The sequence below is a fragment of the Homo sapiens genome, chromosome 12 (genome assembly GCF_000001405.40).
Source record: "Homo sapiens chromosome 12, GRCh38.p14 Primary Assembly".
Lineage (NCBI taxonomy): Eukaryota > Metazoa > Chordata > Mammalia > Primates > Hominidae > Homo > Homo sapiens.
In genome coordinates, this window is record NC_000012.12 from 69,446,298 (window position 1) to 69,465,575 (window position 19,278).

General features: G+C 38.9%; 1 long non-coding RNA gene across 1 annotated transcript; it reads left to right on the top strand.

Moving 5' to 3' along the window:
* LINC02373 (long intergenic non-protein coding RNA 2373) lies at positions 927-16,496 on the top strand. The gene is made up of 3 exons (NR_185917.1): positions 927-3,391; positions 13,220-13,303; positions 14,308-16,496. It is a non-coding gene; the product is annotated as a long intergenic non-protein coding RNA 2373 (long non-coding RNA).

Sequence of the window (19,278 nt, forward strand, 5' to 3'; positions counted from 1 at the left end):
TTAAGGAGTACTTACTAAAGTAAAGATGCAATACTTTATCTTGTCTTTCTTAGAATATTAGTTATAATTGTAATTTATAAGCTTTCTTCTTCTGTTCCATCTACTCTTTCTATTCCTTAAAAGTTTTTTGTTGTTGTTGTTGTTGTTGTTGTTTTGATGTAGTCTCGCTCTGTTGCCAGTCTGGAGTGCAGTGGCACAGTCTTGGCTCACTGCAACCTCTGCCTCCCAGATTCAAACGATTCTCCTGCCTCAGCCTCCTGAGTAGCTGGGACTACAGGTGCATGCCACCACACCCAGCTAATTTTTGTGTGTGTGTGTGTGTTTTTTAGTAGAGACAGGGTTTCACTATGTTGGCCAGGCTGGTCTCGAACTCCTGACCTCGTGATCTGCCTGCCTCAGCCTCCCAAAGTCCTGGGATTACAGGCGTGAGCCACCGCGCCTGGCCATAAGTTCATTTTTTAAAGTTTTGGGGGTTTTTTCTATATTTTGTATTGGAATCTTTCTTCTATATGTCTTCTAATATCTGGTGACCCTTGGTGGTCTCTTGATTTAAGAATGAGGCAATAAAAAGTCCATTGCAACCTCTGTGCATGGCAGGTTGATTAGGCAGGGCTCTCTTCCTCTTTCCCAAAATGCTTTTCTCTTGGGAAGCCAGCAGCTCCAATAACAAATATTCTAATCTCCTCCCTGAAGATGGTGTACTGTAAGTCTGTCAGCTAGTGTCTAAAGCCAATGGTATAAAAAGGCTGGAGACCTCATTGTTCAATATGTAGACTGTCACTGAATGCCCAATAGTTGCAGGGTCCAGAGTTGTTCGGGTTCAATCTCTCCAGATAGAAGCATTTCTTTTTTCTGCAAGAATGGGTCTATCTATCAGTCAGGTTAATTAAAGAACACAGAAACCAATGTAGATTTTTTTTTTTTTAGCAGAGAAAGATTTAATTCAAGTAATTAGGAATTTCCAAATTTATTGGAAGGGCTTGAGAAGAAGGCTACACCAGTTCACAGTATACAACAGTGAACAAAACAGACCAAAACAACTCTTAGTTCATGGAGTTTACATTCTAGTGTAGAAAGAGAAGCAATAAACACAATAAAAAAGCAAAATTTGTTATATGTTAAATTTTACATACTTTATGATAAGTGCTATAGAGAGAAATAAAGCAGGGAAGCCGGATAGGATTTCTGGGACCATTTAAAATAGAGTGGTGAAGGAAGGCCTCACTGATAAGGTGACATTTGAGTAAAATCCTAAAGAAAGCAAGGAAGCAGGCCATAGAGATATTTGGTGGAAGGGCATCTTAGGTAAAGGGAACAACAGATGCAAGGGCCCTGAAGTGGGAGCATAAATTATGTATTTAAGAAACAGCAAGGAAGCTACTGTGGCTAAAGCTGAATGAGAAAAGTGAGGGTCATAAGAGATGAGATCTGAGCAGTAAGATGGGGAGTGTGTGTGTGTGTGTGTGTGTGTGTGTGTGTGTGTGTGTTTGCATGTGTGCAAAATGTAAGGCATTGTGGACCATTATAATGATTTTTTTCTCTTGGTGAGGTGATATTTTTCCATTTGAGGAAAGGAAAATTTGGACAAAGGAATAACACAGTCTTACTGTTTTAAAAGGCGCACTCTTGGGGACAAGAGCAGGAGTAAACTGAGTGGCTTTCAGAATAACCTGGACAAGAGATGATAGTGGCTTGGACTATGATAGTGATGCAGGTGGTAAAAAGTGATTAGAGATAATTAAAAGATAACCCATGAGTAATTATGACCCAACTAAGCTTGGGTAACATTCATTGGGTAGTTATTGATTAACTTTTGTTTTCCTACTCTAGAGGAACTTTCTCTAGTAATGCCTAGGAGCTGAGGCTGTGATGGAGAATGCAAAGGTGACCACCCCATTGGTGGGGATTGGTATGGCTGTAACAGTAAGTGGGCAAAGATGATCATGGCTTGGGCCAAGGTGGTACTAGTAAAGGTGGTGAGAAGTTTCCAGACTCTGGATTTATTTTGAAAATAAAACCAAGATTTGTTGATAAATTGGGCATGGAATGCAAGCAAAAGTGAGAAATCAGTGTGACTGTAGTTTTTTGTCCCCTTTTTTTTTGTTATTGTTGGAGTTTACATTAGTGATAATGACAAGACTTCAAGAAGAACAGATTTTGTGGGAAATATCAGGAGCTCATTTTGAACCTGCTGAGTTCGAGATGCCTTTGATACATCTAAATGTAGATGCCAAGTTGGCAACTGGATATATGAGCATAGAGCTCAGGAGAGTTTAAAGAAAATTTTATTAGTTAACATTGTTGAGGTAACTAACAAGCACCAAATCTCAGTGGATTACAGCAACAAACGTTCATTTCCTGCTCTTGCTACATATGGGCTACAGATTGATTACAGCTCTGCTCTAGGTTGTGGGCCAGCAAATAGGTCGGATTCAAGTGTCTTCTAATCTTGTGCCTAGGCTAAAAGAACAGCCCCTGTCTGTGCTATACTCGTGGCAAAGGGCAGAAGCAAGAGAGACCAAACTAATCCATTCAATCCAGTTTAAAGATTCTCCTTGCATATGGTGTACACCACGTATTTCCATTCTATTCCATTCCACCAGCCAAAAAAAGTCACATAACTCAGCCCTGCAATGTGGCAAAAAATGTATACTCTGCTCAGCAGAGGCATTTAAAGACAAATCCAAAGGGTGCGGATGTATAATAGTCATAGAAGGGAGAAAGCAAGTAGTTGTAAACCATAATTTAATCTACCACAAAGTGAGTATAGATAGTGAAGAGAAGAAATCCAAAGCCTGAGATATTTCAATATTCAGAGGTCAGGGAAATAAGGAGAAACCAACAAAGGAGACTGAGAAGGAAGAGATAGTAAGGTAGGGAGAAACATTGGAAGTCAAGAAAAGAAAGTGTCTCCAGAAGAAAGGAGGGATCAGCTGTGTCCCATACTGCTCATAGGTCAAGCAAGATGTGGGCTGACATTGACCATTACATTTAGCAATGTGGAAATATTGAGTGATAGTGATGACAGAGTTAATGGCATGGTGGGGGATGCTATGGTTTGAATGTCTGTCCCCTCCCACACAAGTTGAAGTTTAATTGCTATTGTGACAGTATTAAAAGGTGGGATATTTAAGAGGTAATTAGGTCATGAGCACTCTACCCTCATGAATGGATTAATGCCATTATCTCAGAAATAGAGTTGTTATCGTTGGAGTAGAATCCTTATAAAAGGATGAGTTCAGCTCTGTTTTGTCTCTCTCACCCTCTCTTTGCCCTTCTGCCATGGGATGCTGTCCACCATGGGATGATGCAGCAAGAAGGCCCTGGCAAGATGCACTTTTCAATCTTGGACTTCCCAGCCTCCAGAAGTGTGAGCCAATAAATCTCTGAGGTATTCTGTTATAGTAGCACAAAATGGACTAAGATGGGGAAGAAAAGCTGATCAACGTAGATTCAAGAGAGAATGGGAGTGGAGAAGTTAGAAATAGTAGGTATAGGCAGGCTACTCTTTAAAGGAATTTTGCTAAAAGGAGAAGGTAGAAAATGGAGTAACTGAAGGGAAAAGTAAGGTGAATAGTAAGGTTTATTTTCTTTTCTTAAGACAATAGAAATAACATCATGGTTTTGTGCTGATTGGAAAGATCCAATAGAGAGAAAAAACTTGATGATGCCAGAGATAAAGGAGAAAAGTGCTGTAACGGGGTCCCTAAATCGACTAGAGAGAGTGAGATCTAGCACATAATAGAGAACTGGCCTTCATTAGGAGCATAGACAGTCCATTCACAGTAATATGTGAGAAGGCAGAGCACGTGAACACAAATGCAGGTAGGTGAGGAGATGTGACAGTGAGAGCACATGAAAATTCCTTTCTGATTGCCATTATTTTTCAATAGGAATAAGATACAACTCATCAGTTGAGAGTGAGGATAAGAGTGAGGGGAGAAGTTTTCAGAGGCTTGAAAGTTAGGAGAAATTCTGAATAGTCTAGAAGAATGAGAGTCTGGACTAAGAAACAGTAATGATTGGTAGGTAGCATTAAGCACTCAAGTGAGGTTAGTGATGGTTATGTGTTTTTCCCTCCAACCACATTTAGCTGCAGAGGTGCAGTGCAAATTTAAGTGGAGAACTGGATCCTAGTAACAAGCAGGCAGAAAGTTAGATTTAACCAGGATTTGCAAAGTTAAAAAAAAAATCAATAAAAAGTAAGAGGGACAAGACAAGGGAGTTTAGGATGCATGCAAGGTTATAATGATTTATCACAGAATTTAGGTTGAATAATAATGAAAATTGGCAATGACACAGGTTAGGGACAATAAATGGTTGAGGAATTAATATATTATAGGTACAGATATATTTGAAAAATGGTTGGAGTCAAAGAATAAGCTTTAAAAACAGAAGATCTTGCCTATAATTCCAGCCACTTGAGAGGCTGAGGTGGGAGGATCACTTGAGGCCAGAAGTTCAAGACCAGACTGGGAAAAATATCAAGACCCCATCTCTAAAAAATAAAAAATAAGGCCAGGCATGGTAGCCCACGCCTGCAATCCCAGCACTTTGGGAGGCTGATGTGGGCAGATCACTTGAGGTCAGGAGTTCAAGACCAGCCTGACCGACATCGTGAAACCCCATCTCTACTAAAAATGCAAAAAATTAGCCCAGCATGGTGGTGGGCGCATATAATCCCAGCTACTTAGGAGGCTGAGGCAGGAGAATCACCTGAACCTGGGAGGTGGAAGTTGCAGTGAGCCAAGATCGCACCACTGCACTCCAGCCTGAGCTACAAAGTGAGACTCTGTCTTAAAAAAAATAAAAATGAAAAAACAAAAAAACTTAGGGGAGTTTAGTGGCATGCACCTGTAGTCCCAGCTACTTAGGAAGCTGAGGCGGGATGATCGCTATAGCCCAGGAGTTTGAGGCTGCAATGAACCATGATCACGCCATAGCACTCCAGCCTGAGCAACAGAGAGACCCTGTCCCTCAAAAAAAAAAAAAAAGGTCAGAAAATGTGATGCTTAATAATGACATTATGGAGAAGTTGCAGTTATTTATTGGTAATGACAAGATCTAAAGCAGCACTATCCAGTAGAACTTCAGTGGAAGAAATAATATTTAAATATTTAAATTTAATAAATTTAAAATTTATATATATATATATATATATATATATATATTTTTTTTTTTTTTTTTTTTTTTTTTTTTTTTTGAGACGGAGTTTTGCTCTTGTTGCCCAGGCTGGAGTGTAGTGGCATGATCTCGGCTCACTGCAACCTCCGCCTCCCAGGTTCAAGCGATTCTCCTGCCTCAGCCTCCCGTGTAGCTGGTGTTACAGGCGTGTGCTACCATGCCCGGCTAATTTTGTATTTTGAGTAGAGATGGGGTTTCTCCATGTTGGTCAGGCTGGTCTCCAACTCCTGACCTCAGGTGATCCGCCCACCTCGGCCTCCCAAAATGCTGGGATTACAGGCATGAGCCACCGCACCCAGCATAAATTTAAAATTTAAAAGCAACATGAGAAACGTGGACATCATATTGGACACATTTCATTCCAATTTGTAGGTTTCTAGGTTATAAGCCATGTGAGAGAAAGTTTTGTTTCATTTCTGAGTCCTTAGCACCTCACACATAGTAGATTTCTGTAAACTTTTATTATTTTTAATTTTTATTGATACATCAGAGGTGTACATATTTTGGGATAACCTGTGATAATGTAATACATTCATATAATTTGTAAAGTTCAAACCAGTATAACTGGGATAGCCATCACCTTATATATTTTTCTTTTCTTTATGTTTGAAACATTCAGTCCAATTATCCTATTGGACAGTGCAGGTCTAGAGGTATAACCATGTTAGTGAGTTGCCAAGATAGAAGACAATATCAAGAAGAGGAGGCCAAAGAACTTAGAAGCTAGGTTACTGGAAGGTCCATATAAGTCGATATTAAAATCACCAAGAATTATGACAAAAGTGATATTGAAGTAACAGTGAACCACCAGCTAAAATCTTCAAGGAAAGATGAGTGTCTCCAGATGGGAGAATGAGTGTATAACAAGGAGTAGAAGTGAGTGGTATAGTCCAATTACATGTTAATCAAAACAGAAGTTTCAGGAAGGAAAGAGGGAAAAAGATTTAGAACCATCAATGCAAGGAGCACACCTACACCTTGTCTAGGTCCAGTGTGGCAAAATGCTTTGAAAGTATCTTCTTTCATTGCAAAGTTAAGTTTGTGGATTGCCTTATCACTTACTTATGGTGTCACTTGTCAAATAAAGGATTTAATGCTTAAATTTGACAATCCTTCCTTACCTTAAGGTCATAAATACATTCTCTTGTTTTCTTTTAAAAGTGTTACAGGTTTGCTTTTTACATTTAATGTTTTGTTTCGGTTTTTGTTTGTTTGTTTTATTTTTTGCGACAGTATCTTGCTCTGTCACCCAGGCTGGAATGCAGTGTCACGGCTCACTGCAAGCTCTGCCTCCCGGGTTCAAACGATTCTCCTGCCTCAGCCTCCTAAGTAGCTGGAATTATAGGCATGCATCACCCCTCCCAGCTAATTTGTGTGTGTGTGTGTGTGTGTGTATTTTCAGTAGAGACGGGTTTCGCCATGTTGGCCAGGCTGGTCTCGAATTCCTGACCTCAGGTGATCTGCCCAGCTTGGCCTCCCAAAGTGCTGAGATTACAGGCGCGAGCCACCGTGCCCCGCCTATTCAGTTCTTACTGTGTCTTTGTCCTTCCTCCTCCAGTCCACAGCTCTGTATAATGCTATAGCCTCAGCAAGAGAAGTGGAATCAGCTTTGTTTTTTAGCTGCCTATCATAAGTGGATTTGGAAGAGATGGGGTATCTCAAAGTGTCATTCATCTTGACCAGAAGTCTTCTGATAGTTTTATAATTTCATTCTTTAACCATTCAAATCTTTCACTGACCTGGAGTTAATTTTGATGTAATTTTGATATAAGAATCTAACTCTTTTCCTCCGAATATTTAACCAGTTGTCCCCACATCATTTATCAAATTACTTATTGAATTGCTAATTTTTGTGACTGCCACTTTTTAAGTGGCCCTCAGATCTGTCTTCTTATTCTTTATAGTCCCATTGTTACTAACCCAGTTGAGGTCACTGTTATTCTGCCAGCTTTCACCTAGGTTGCTGCCATGGCCTCCTAACTCTTGGTCTTCAATCCCTTATATACAGTACAGCCAGAATGACCTTGTGTAACACAAAACTGGTCATGCTACTCCCTGCATACAGCATTCCAATGACCTTCCCATTTCCTTAAGATGTTTGGTGAGGTTTACCATTATATCAGCTTATTTATATCTTTATCTCTTCCCATTCATCTTCCTCATCCTCAACTCTACTCTGGCAGCCCTAGGGCTTAGCCTGTTGATCATGTCATGCCCTCCTTCCTTTCCAGATACATGTTGTTCTTTGCTTCTGTCCTCACCCACTGTATCTTGGATGACTAACTGATCCATCCTGTAGGTTTCACTAAGGTGTTACAGCCTCCAAAAAAAAAAAAGCCTTTTGTGATCTTCCTTGAGCCCCAGAATAGGGGCTTCTCTAGATGATGCTATATTCTCCTTTTCTTCCCCCACCATAGCACTAATTATGCAGAATAGCCATTTCTTATTTGCTTTCCTACTTACTTCTCTCCTAGGTTATAAGCCATGTGAGAGAAAGTTTTGTTTCATTTCTGAGTCCTTAGCACCTCACACGTAGTAGATTTCTGTAAATTTGTATTATTTTTAATTTTTATTGATACATCATAGGTGTGCATATTTTGGGATAACCTGCGATAATGTAATACATTCATATAATTTGTAAAGTTCAAACCGGTATAACTGGGATAGCCATCACCTTATATATTTGTCTTTTCTTTATGTTTGAAATATTCAAATTATTATCTTCTAGCTATTTTGAAATATACAATAGATTGTTGTAAACTATAGTCACCCTTCTGATCTATCAAACTCTAGGTCTTAATTATTCTGTTAAACTGTATATTTGTACCCATTAATCAACCTCTCTTCATCCTCGCCTTCCCCTCTACCCTTCCTGGCCTCTGAAAACTACCAATCTATTCTCTATCTTCACAAAATCTACTTTTTAACTTCCCACATGTGAGTGAGAACATGTGATATTTGTCTTTCTGTGCCTGGCTTACTTCACTTAACATAATGACCTCTAGTTCCATCTATGTTGCTGCAAATGACAGGGTTTAATTTTTATTGCCGAATAATATTCCGTCTTATATATATGGCACATTTTCTTTATCCATTCATCCGTTTATGGGCACTTAGGTTGATTTTATATTTTGGCTATTGTGAATAGTGTTGCAATAAACGGGGGAGTGCAGACATATCTTTGATATATTGATTTCCTTTCTTTTGGATATACATCTAGTGGTGAAATTGGTGAATCATATAGCAGTTCTATTTTTAGTTTTTTAAGGAACTTCCTTACAGTTTTCCATAATAGCTGTACTAAGTGACATTCCCACCAACTATGTATGAGGGTTCCCCTTTCTCTACATCCCTGCCAGCATCCATTATTCCCTGTCTTTTTGATAAAAGCCATTTTAACTGGGGTGAGATGAAATCTCATTGTGGTTTTGATTTGAGTTTCTCTGATGATTAGTGATATTGAACATTTTTTTCATATACCTGTTGTCCATTTGTATATCTTCTTTTAAGAAATGTCATGCAGCAAGCCAACATGGCACGTGTATGCCTATGTAACAAACCTGCACGTTGTGCACATGTACCCTAAAACTTAAAGTATAATAATAATAAGAAGAAGAAATGTTTATTCAGATCTTTTGCCCATTTAAAAATTGGATTATTTGGGATTTTCCTACTGAATTGTTTGAGCTCCTTATATATTCTGGTTATTAATCCCTTGTCAGATGGATATGTGAATTCAATAAAAATTTATCAACTATACGGTGATACACCAGACACCATGCTAAATCCATGGGAATACATAAGAACACAAGAAAGACAAGATCACCTCCCTCGCACAACTTATACTCTAGTGAAAGACACACACAACCAAATAAATAAAATAATTACAGCTTGTATTGGGAAGAATATAAACAGTTGGCTGTGAAAGGGAATAATAGAGGGTCCTACTTAGATAAGATGACCAAGAATTTCTGCCTTGAGAAATTGACATTTTTGTTTTTGTTTTTTGAGATGAAGTTTCACTCTTATTGCCCAGGCTGGAGTGCAATGGTGCGATTTCGGCTCACTGCAACCTCCACCTCCTGGGTTCAAGCGATTCTCCTACCTCAGCCTCCTGAGTAGTTGGGATTACCGGCATACCCCACCACACCCGGCTAATTTTGTATTTTTAGTAGAGATGGGGTTTCACCATGTTGGTCAGGCTGGTCTCAAACTTCTGACCTCAGGTGACCCACCCTCCTTGGCCTCCCAAAGTCCTAGGATTACAGGCATGAGCCACAGCACCCGGTGAGAAATTGACATTGAAGTTAAAAACTAAAGAAAGAGAAGGGGCCAACCATGTGAAAAGCTGAAAGAAGAGCATTACAAACAGAAACAAGAGCAAGCGCAAAAATCCTGAAAGAGGAAAGAAGTTGGTATGTTCTAGGAGCATCAATTGCAGAGGACACTTTTTTGAGACAGAGTCTCGCTCTGTTGCCCAGGTTGGAGTGAAGTGGTGCAATCTCGGCTCACTGCAACCTCTCCCTCCAAGGTTCAAGTGATTCTCCTGCCTCCTGAGTAGCTGGGACCAGGTGTGCACCACCATACCTGACTAATTTTTTTGTATTTTTAGTAGAGATGGCGTTTCACCATGTTGGCCAGGCTAGTTTCAAACTCCTGGCCTCAAGTGATCCACCCATCTCGGCCTCCCAAAGTGCTGGAATTACAAGCATGAGCCACCATGCTCAGCCTGCACAGGACACTTTGACTGCAGAGTTGTGACTGATGACATAAGATGCATGGTGTGAAGTTGGAGACTTCAGGCAAGTGTTCCAATCATGCAGGGGTCTTTCTAGCCATAGCCAGGCACTTGGATTTGTTCTAAAAGGCTGGAAAAACATGGAAGTGTTTTAAAGAGGAGAATGGCATGCTCTAATTACATTTCAGGAGTTTACTCTGGTTATGTTGATAATGGAATGTAAGGAAGTTTCCATAGAAGTGGAGGGACCAGTCAAAAGCCATCACAGTAAATCAGGAGAGGAAGAGCAGTAATTTAAACTGGCACAGTCCCAAGTGAAGATGGGGAAAAGTGAATGAATTCAAGATGCATTTGGGAGGTAGAACCCCATTTGGACTGGCAAGTGAACTGACAATGAAGGATAAGGGAAAGGGAAAGGATTTTAACTCCCAGACTTCTGACTTCAGTAACTGAGTGAATAACGTTGCCATTTATAAGATACAAATAATGGGGGAAATAGATTGGAAGGGCACAGGGAAATCAAATATTCTATTTTGACTATGCTAAATTTGAAATGTGTGTGACAGAACAAAATAGAGATGTCAGATAAGCAGTTTGAATATAGTAATCTGGGGCTTAGATGAAAGGTCTAGTCTTGACATATACATGTAGATGTCATCAGCATGAAGCATTAGAAAGTGTATGAGATCCCTAAAGAACAGAGTAAATGTGGAGAAGATAGAACGATATTCAGAAACCAAGATCAAGGCACTGGGAGTGCTCATCGTTACTATGGCATTGCTTCTCTGAGGCTGCCTCACTAACTGAGCTAGGGAAATACATGTATGCATATACATATGTACATATATAGGTATTTTCACATATGCATTTATATACATATATGCATACATGCATTTACATCTATGTTAATTAATTAATTTATTTATTTTTGGGACGGAGTCTTGCTTCTTTGCCCAGGCTGGAGTGCAATGGCTTGATCTCAGCTCACTGCAACCTCTGCCTCCCGGTTCAAGTGATTCGTCTGCCTCAGCCTCCTGAGTAGCTGGGATTACAGGAGTGTGCCACCATGTCCTGCTAATTTTTGTATTTTTAGTAGAGATGGGGTTTCACCATGTTGGCCAGGCTGGTCTTGAACTCCTGACCTCAAGTGTTCCACCTGCCTGGGCCTCCCAAAGTGCTGAGATTACAGGTGTGAGCCACCGTGCCCAGCCCTATGTTTATTCTTTATATCTGTCTTTATATATTGAAAACCATAAGTTCACACTGATAGGTTCAATTCTAATCCATTGCCACAGGGCTTAGTCTAGCTTTCCCCTTCCATGTTTACACCTCTTTTCTCTGACAGTGAGCAACTTGACTGTCATTATCCTTAATATTCTGCTAATTTGCTTAATCTCCCTGCATGTTGCCAATTTCCTGACACCTTTAGGCTGCTACCTTGCTAGAACACTCTTCCTACGCAGGCCTGGCTCCCATGAGGCTGCCTTCCGGCGAGAAAGGGAGGAAAGCTCACTTTCCTTATTTAGGTTCTGCACATTAAGTATATTATTTGGCATTTTATTTGTTTTGTTGCTATTTTGAATAAGCATTTCTTTTTCACTATATTTTCTGTTCATTGCTTGTATTTGAAAAGACTACAATGTATAGTTTCATTTTTTCATATTTGCCTATTTGAAGTGAAAAAAGTTTGTATTTCATTACTCATTGGTTATTAGTAATATTGAACATTTTCAAGTGTTTATTAGCCATTTTAATTTTTCCATGAACTTTCTGAATCCTTTGCCTTTTATTCTATAGAAATCTTTTATTACTTTTTTAAAAAAATCAACTTTCTTGAGTTCTTTATTTTTATTATTATTATTTTTTTTTGAGAAAGGGTCTTGCTCTATCACCTGGGCTGGAGTGCAGTGGTATGATCTCGGCTCATTGCAGCCTCCACCTCCTGAGCTCAAGTGATCCTCCCATCTTAGCCTCACAAGTAGCTGAGCCTACAGGCATGGACCACCACATCCGGTTAATTTTTAAATTTTTGTTTACAGATGGGTTTTCATCATGTTGTCCAGGCTAGTCTCAAACTCCTGAGCTCAAGCAATCTGCCTGCCTCAGCCTCCCAAAGTGCTAGGATTAAAGGCATGAGCCACCAAGCCCAGCCTTGAGTTCTTTATAAATTCAGGATAACTGTTGCAAATATTTTCCAAGTTGACTGTTTTAATTTTTATTTTTTTTAATTTACAGAATTTTGATTTTTCATATAGTCAAATGTGTTGATCTTTTTCTTCATGATTTATTTATTTTTTTTTCTTTTGAGACAGAGTTTCTCTCTTTTTGCCCAGGCTGGAATGCAATGGCATGATCTCAGCTGACTGCAACCTCTGCCTCCCAGGTTCAAGCGATTCTCTTGCCTCAGCCTCCCAAGTAGCTGGGATTACAGGCGCCTGCCACTACGCCCAGCTAATTTTTGTCTTTTTAGTAGAGACGGGGTTTCACCATGTTGGCCAGGATGGTTTCGATCTCTTGACCTTGTGATCTGCCCGCCTCAGCCTCCCAAAGTGCTGGGATTACAGGCATGAGCCTTCGTGCCTGGCCACTGTGATTTCTTATACTATGTTTAAGCTTCGAACTCCCTTTCCTATCCAGAGGTCAGATATTCACCTATGCATTACTTTAGCTAAACATTTTTAGAAAATTTAAATTTTAACATTTTATCCATCTAGAATTTATTTTATTACATTTTTAGCCAATTTGTGGATAATTTGAATATATTAGGAATATTAATCTTTTGCCTGTCACAATTGACGCAGCTTTTCATTTGCCATTTTAACCTATTTCATTTTGATTTATCCCCTTCTTGTTTTTAAGCTTAGAATGACTTCCCCTATCCAGAGACTTAATAAACATACACTTACGCTTTCTTTTTTCTCTTTTTTTCCTCTCCTCTTTTTCTCCTCCTCCTTCTTTTTCTTTAGCATGTGCCTCAAGGCCAGCTATAAGTAAAACAGAACCCCTAAACTAGCCCCAGATCACTTTGGTCTCTTGGGGGTCTTACAGACCAAGCAATACGTGGGATTGAGGTGGATTTTTCTAACACACACTCCCCTCCCTTTCCCTCCTACATAAAAAGCAGTCCAGTGTTGAACTTCCCAATAAGTGTATGTATACCTGACAATTCATAAACTGCTGAAGTGAAAGGTGGCCTTTAGATATTCCGTATATAAATTTAGCCATTTATACAGAGGGAATGAAAAAAAAAGTGGCCTGATTCTGATCAGATGCTGCTTGTTTCTCCTTACACCACAGGGTTCTGTTCTATGTCATTTCCTTTGAAGTCAGTGGGAACTCTGTGCAGGACGGCAACATGAACACCGGCCTCTATACATGAAGGTGAGAACTGCCATTACGATAAACTATTCAGCAGTGTGGTGGAGGGAGCATTGGTTTAACACACTTGGTGGCTACCCTGCAGATCCCACTGTCTGTGAGAGCTTTGTTCAACTGGAGCAAACAAGAACTTTTTGAATCTTGACATACAAGGGCTCATTCAGCAGAGCATCCCCTGTTATGAGAGGAGGCACAGTGCTGGGCAGACATTGCAGTTTTTAGCCAGCACACTGAGGACATTTCTCTCATTCTCTCCATCTGTAAAGAGTCTGTTTTCAAGACCCCCAAAATGGTTTTCTATAGATTAGAAAGGAGTATAAATATTTTTACATGTTTGTACCCAATTACACAAAAAAGAAGGCAAAGTGCAATTGTATAAAAGTAGGTAGGCCTTTTCAAGATGGAAAGAAAGAATTCTTTGAAAATTTTAGTTGAAGGGGTTACGTGATGAAAAGCAGAGCTCATAAAAGAAACAATGAAAAAAACTTTGACATGGAGAAGGTATTGAAAATGAAGAATCATGTATATTTGCTTTCTATCTCAGGATCATTATTTTATTCACTGGTCAACAGAGTCTTTCTCCCTCCACTCCTTGTCACAATGGCTTACATGCCATTTATTAGAAACCTGAATCAAACGATGCTTCCAGGTTATTAGTCTACAAACATCTGAATGAGTAGAAGTTAAAGAGCAAATTGCCCAAGGTGATTTTTTTTCCCTACCCATCCCATCGCCGGACTTTGCAGTGGCGGTGCACCCTTCCTGATTCCTTCATCACATCATTCTGCTCCTGCCTCTAGGCCTTGACTTGAGCTGTAGCATATACTCAGCTTCAAGCCTCCTCACTTACAAGAACCCCTCTGAGGGCAGTACACTAGTGTTTTGTATTTGTAATTTGTCCTATTGGATGGCATTGGTGGAGCAGGCATTTCCAACTTACAGTTTTGAATGCTTTCTCAGGAAATGTGTATCCATCTCTGTATATAGAATACTTTTTCTTTCCACAGGCCATCAAGTGGTTAACATATAGACAGTATTTAAATCCTTGGGACTGGATGAGATTACCAAGGGAGGAAATGTAGATGAAGGAGAAGAGAAAGGATGGAGTTCTGGAGCACTACAAATTTAAGAGACTGGGGAGAAGAGGAGAAACCCAGAAAATCTACCTTGGAGATCACTGCGTAATACTACACTGGGAGCAGTATCATTCTTTGAAATAATAATTATAATGTAATATAATAGTTATAAACTATTCCAGTGTGTGAACATGCCCTTTATTCAAGCAGTTCTCTACCAGTAGCTTCTTAACTGGTCTTCCTGCTCTCAGTTTATCCTTACTCCAATCCTTTGTAAATACTGCTTATGCTAACCTTGGATTAATCTTAGTTATTTATGCCTGCATGAAAAATGGAAAAATTGGACACATATTGCATTTATATAATGAAATACAATGCAGTTTATTAAAAATCATGTTGAAAAACCCACAACATAATGTTGAATTAAAAAAACATAATCCCAGTCTACACACACACACACACACACACGTGCACACACATAAATATATGACCAGAAATAAAATGCTGTACATTTAGCCATCAAAGTTTAACATATTTATGGATGATGGATTTCCAAGTAATTTTTATTTTCATTTTTTATTTTACTATTATGTATGTATGTATGTATGTATGTATGTATGTATGTATTTATTGAGACAAAATCTCACTCTGTCACCCAGGCTGGAGCGCAGTGGTGCGATCTCGGCTCACTGCAACCTCTATGTCCCAGTTTCAAGAGATTCTCCTGCTTCAGTCTCTGAGTAGCTGGGATTATAGGTGCACGCCAATTTTTATTCTATTTTTGGTGGTTTTCTGTGTTTTGCAAATTTTCTTCATAAAAAAAGAAAGATTTTTAGAAAGCATACTTTAATCATGTTGCTTCACGGGAAACCAGCTTTGATTCTTTACTGCCTAAAAAGATAATGTCCAAATATCTTAATTTAGTAGTGAAGGCCCTTCAGAGCAGAGGCCCAACCTACTTACTCAAAGTTTTCTCCTAGTTGGCACAAACCCTTTGTTGCAGTTAAAAGGATCTGCTCAAGGTCTGCTAGATGTGCTTGGTACTTTGCTGCATCTGTACTTTTTTTTTAATGCTAGGATCCTTTTCATGTCCCTTATTTTCCTATAATTTCCAAAATCCTTTAAGACATGATTTAAGTTCTATCTCTTACCTGAAGACCATGAGTGAGGGACGAGGTCTCCAAAAATGAATGACTCTGTTATTCATTTAGCATTTACCACAGGATCCTTAGCATTATTACGGTTCTTTTTCTATGAGCCCATAACTTATCTCCCTAACTGGCACTTTTAAGCACTTAGAAGACTTGTTCTGTAACTTGGAGTTCTTGGTATTCCCCTGACCTCCTATGCATATTGAGTATGCAATAAACATTTGTAGTAGTTTAGATCCAGGGTTATTTCAAATAAATATAATTTTTGAAATTTGAAATAATTCTGGATCTCTCTTTCTCTATGCGTTCTATGTGCATTGAACTTGCTGAAGGAGTAACAGATTTTCAGCAGTTAATTTCCTATAAGGGAAAAATTTAAATAAACTTAATTATAAACTATTGCTTAAATATTTTTCCTGCACCAAAGGTCATTGGTTATTTTTGCTTCAGGGAACGTTCTCTTTTTACTGTCTCCTGAAATACAACTGAAATACAATGTAGCTTTCCTTTTCTTCTTTATTCCCTGGTCCCAAATATAATCTCCACATGTGCTCTATCTTTGTAGGTGAAATACTTCCTGCCTCAGTGAAATCCGGCTCCCAGTGAATTTCTTTGGTTTAGAGAGCAACTTGAGGATTTTGCATTTGGCACCATTCAATTTCCTTGGCATCTCTCCATAGTCACCATTTAGAAGGCTCCTGGTCAGTAGGATTTCTCTCCCTCTTACACTCTGTAGAGATTAAAAAAGGATTGTATTACAGGGGCTTGGAAATGTGATGGAAAATGAAATTTGCTTTAGCAAAAATGGAAGCTTTTGAAACTCAAGTTGTTCTAACAGGACCCTTAGACAAGAATAGTTTTTAGGGGAGCAAAATGGCAGATACGGTTTAAGTTCCTTATTTAGATTGCCACTAAGAAATATTATGATGTGTAAAATCACTCACTCAAATAAAGTCATTTGCAAAACAATATGATTACATTTATGTATTTAAAAATATTGGTGCATACATACATATAAAGCAAGCTTGGATTAAGATCTTAAGACAGATCGTGGCCAGGCGCGGTGGCTCATGCCTGTAATCCCAGCACTTTGGGAGGCCAAGGCAGGCGGATCACCTGAGGTCAGGAGTTTGAGACAAGCCTGGCCAACATGGTGAAACGCCGTCTCTACTAAAAATACAAAAAAAAAAAAAGTTAGCTGGGCATGGTGGCAGGCACCTGTAATCCCAGCTACTTGGGAGGCTGAGGCAGGAGAATCGCTTGAACCTGGGAGGCGGAGGTTGCAGTGAACCAAGATTGCACCATTGCACTCCAGCCTGGGGGACAAGAGCGAGACTTCGTCTCAAAAAAAAAAAAAAAAAGAAAAAAAGAAAAAAGAAAAATCGTAAGCACTAAAGAGCTTATGGTCCATAGTAAATATTATTTTACTGTTTAATTTAAGAATTTAAACCATGTTAAAATTAAATTAGTATAAGGAAGTCCTAACAAGCTCTGATTTTTTTTTATATCTATGCATTTGTAAAAACACAAATTTCTTTTTTTTTTGACACGTGTATAAGATCTTTATTATCAAAAGTTTCTCTAAGAATTTCACTTTGGTAATTTTTTTTCATATCTCATTGAAATTTTAACCACATTTTCCTCCTTCTATTTTGTAAATTACTTAATAATGATTGAAAAACACAAAATTCTTTAATTTTTTTTTTTTGGTGGGGCCAGGCACAGTGGCACATGCCTGTAATTCCAGCTACTAGGGAGGCTGAGGCAGGAGGATTGCTTGAGCCCAGCAGTTCGAGATCAGCCCAGGCATCATTGTGAAATTTCATCTTTTGGGTGCTTTAAGCACATACTTTCATGTTTCCATTGGGTTTTCTTTATATGAATATAAATGCACTGATAAATGCCTGGAAAGCAACACACCGAATCATTTATAGTGGTTACATCTGCAGAGAAGAATGGGCTGGGGCATGGGGAGTATTAGTGATGAAGAGGTACTTTTAAATTTTACCCAATTTTTTCCTAATAATCTATAATAAAAATGTAGCCATTTATTACATGCACAATGATTATAAGGAATAAAAATAGCTGGGCACAGTGGCCCATGCCTGTAGTCCCAACACTTTGGGAGGTTAAGCAGGGCAGATCACTTGAGCCTAGGACCAGCCTGGGCAACATGGCAAAACTGTGTCTCTACAAAAAATATAAAAATTAGCTGGGCATGGTGGTGCACGCCTGTAGTGCCAGCTACTCAGGAGGCTGAGGTGGGAGGATCGCTTGAGCTCAGATGATCAAGGCTGCAGTGACTGCACCACTGCGCATCAGCCTGGGTGGCAGAGCAAGAACCTCTCTCCAGAAAAAAAAAGAAAGACTAAACAGACTGGGAAAATGAGAATGAAATGTCTCACCTTTCCTTTTGATATCAAAGTTCAATATTAAAGAGCTTATATTTGATGAATATTAACATGGTAACCTAGAGGGCAGTACCAATTATTCTCCAAGTTGAATGGATTGACTTACTATCCAATAACATGGCTAGACTGCTGCCTATTATTTTTTTTTTTTAGATATTGCTGCAAGTCATCACCACTGCTAATGTTCACTGAGCCCTTATAGTCTGCCAGCCACTAGTTCAGAGTTCTACATGTATTAATGTGTTGAACTCTCACAAAAATCCTGTGAAGTGGGTATTATTATTATTGTAATTTTTATAGTGAAGAGATAGAGGTTGGAGATTAGCTGTCTTGTATGAGCTGGGTCGCACAGCCAGCAAGTGATGAAACTGAGATGTGTCACTGGCAGTCTGACTTCAGATTCTGCATAGGAAAGAGGAAGGGAGTAGAGCCAGTCTGTGGTTTAAGATTTTTATTTGATTTAATAGTTGGTATATACACTTTTGTCTAACTGGAAGGTGACTAAAGGCATCTGGGTCTGGTTGATGTGCTGGTTGAAAATTACTATTATTATGAGGATGATTATTATAGTATTTAGTAATTATGCAGTGCTTTATACTTCAAAGAGCTATGCTGTGTAATCATTTATTAGCTATGTCTCACAACATCTCTAAGATATAAAGATGCATTTATCATGCATATTTTGCAGAAAGAGAAGCTGAGGCAAGGTAAGATGGGCAGTGTTTTGATAAAAAAGGAGTAAGAGTGGAAGGCAACCTCTTAAATTCCTGATACTACGTAATTCAATGTGGACAACAGAAATTTAATTAATTTAAGCCTTTTAAAGAAAAGTGCCAGTTCCAGTACTTTTTCATGATATTTAGTTAAAAATTAAATGTAAAATATACCAAAGGTTGATGAGCATTCCCTTTTAAGTTCTCTATTTTTGAACTTTCTCTGCATTTGTGTCAATGTGACATTTTTGCTCAAATTCAACCTTGACATCTCCCATTTCTCCACGCAAGCAGGATTTGACTAGAGATACTGGTTTTCACTGTCAGTATTATATGGCTTCAAATTTCTTCCGTTGTTTGTGAAACCACGTGCATAGGATTCGTTATGATAACTTTCAACAGAAACAAACTTCATGCAAGAACTATATGGGAATTAAAAGAAGTTTTAGACATGTGGCAGTTTGTCCATTTCAAAAATGATTATAAACATGTCAATATGAGGGGTGGGAGAGGGAAAAGGATCTATGTGGGTTTATTATAGTGACCTGTAAAAGGCCTGGAAGAGATTTATACATTCTTCTATAAATCTGGTTGTCTCTTTCAGTTGGGAGGCAGTCATGGCCATGG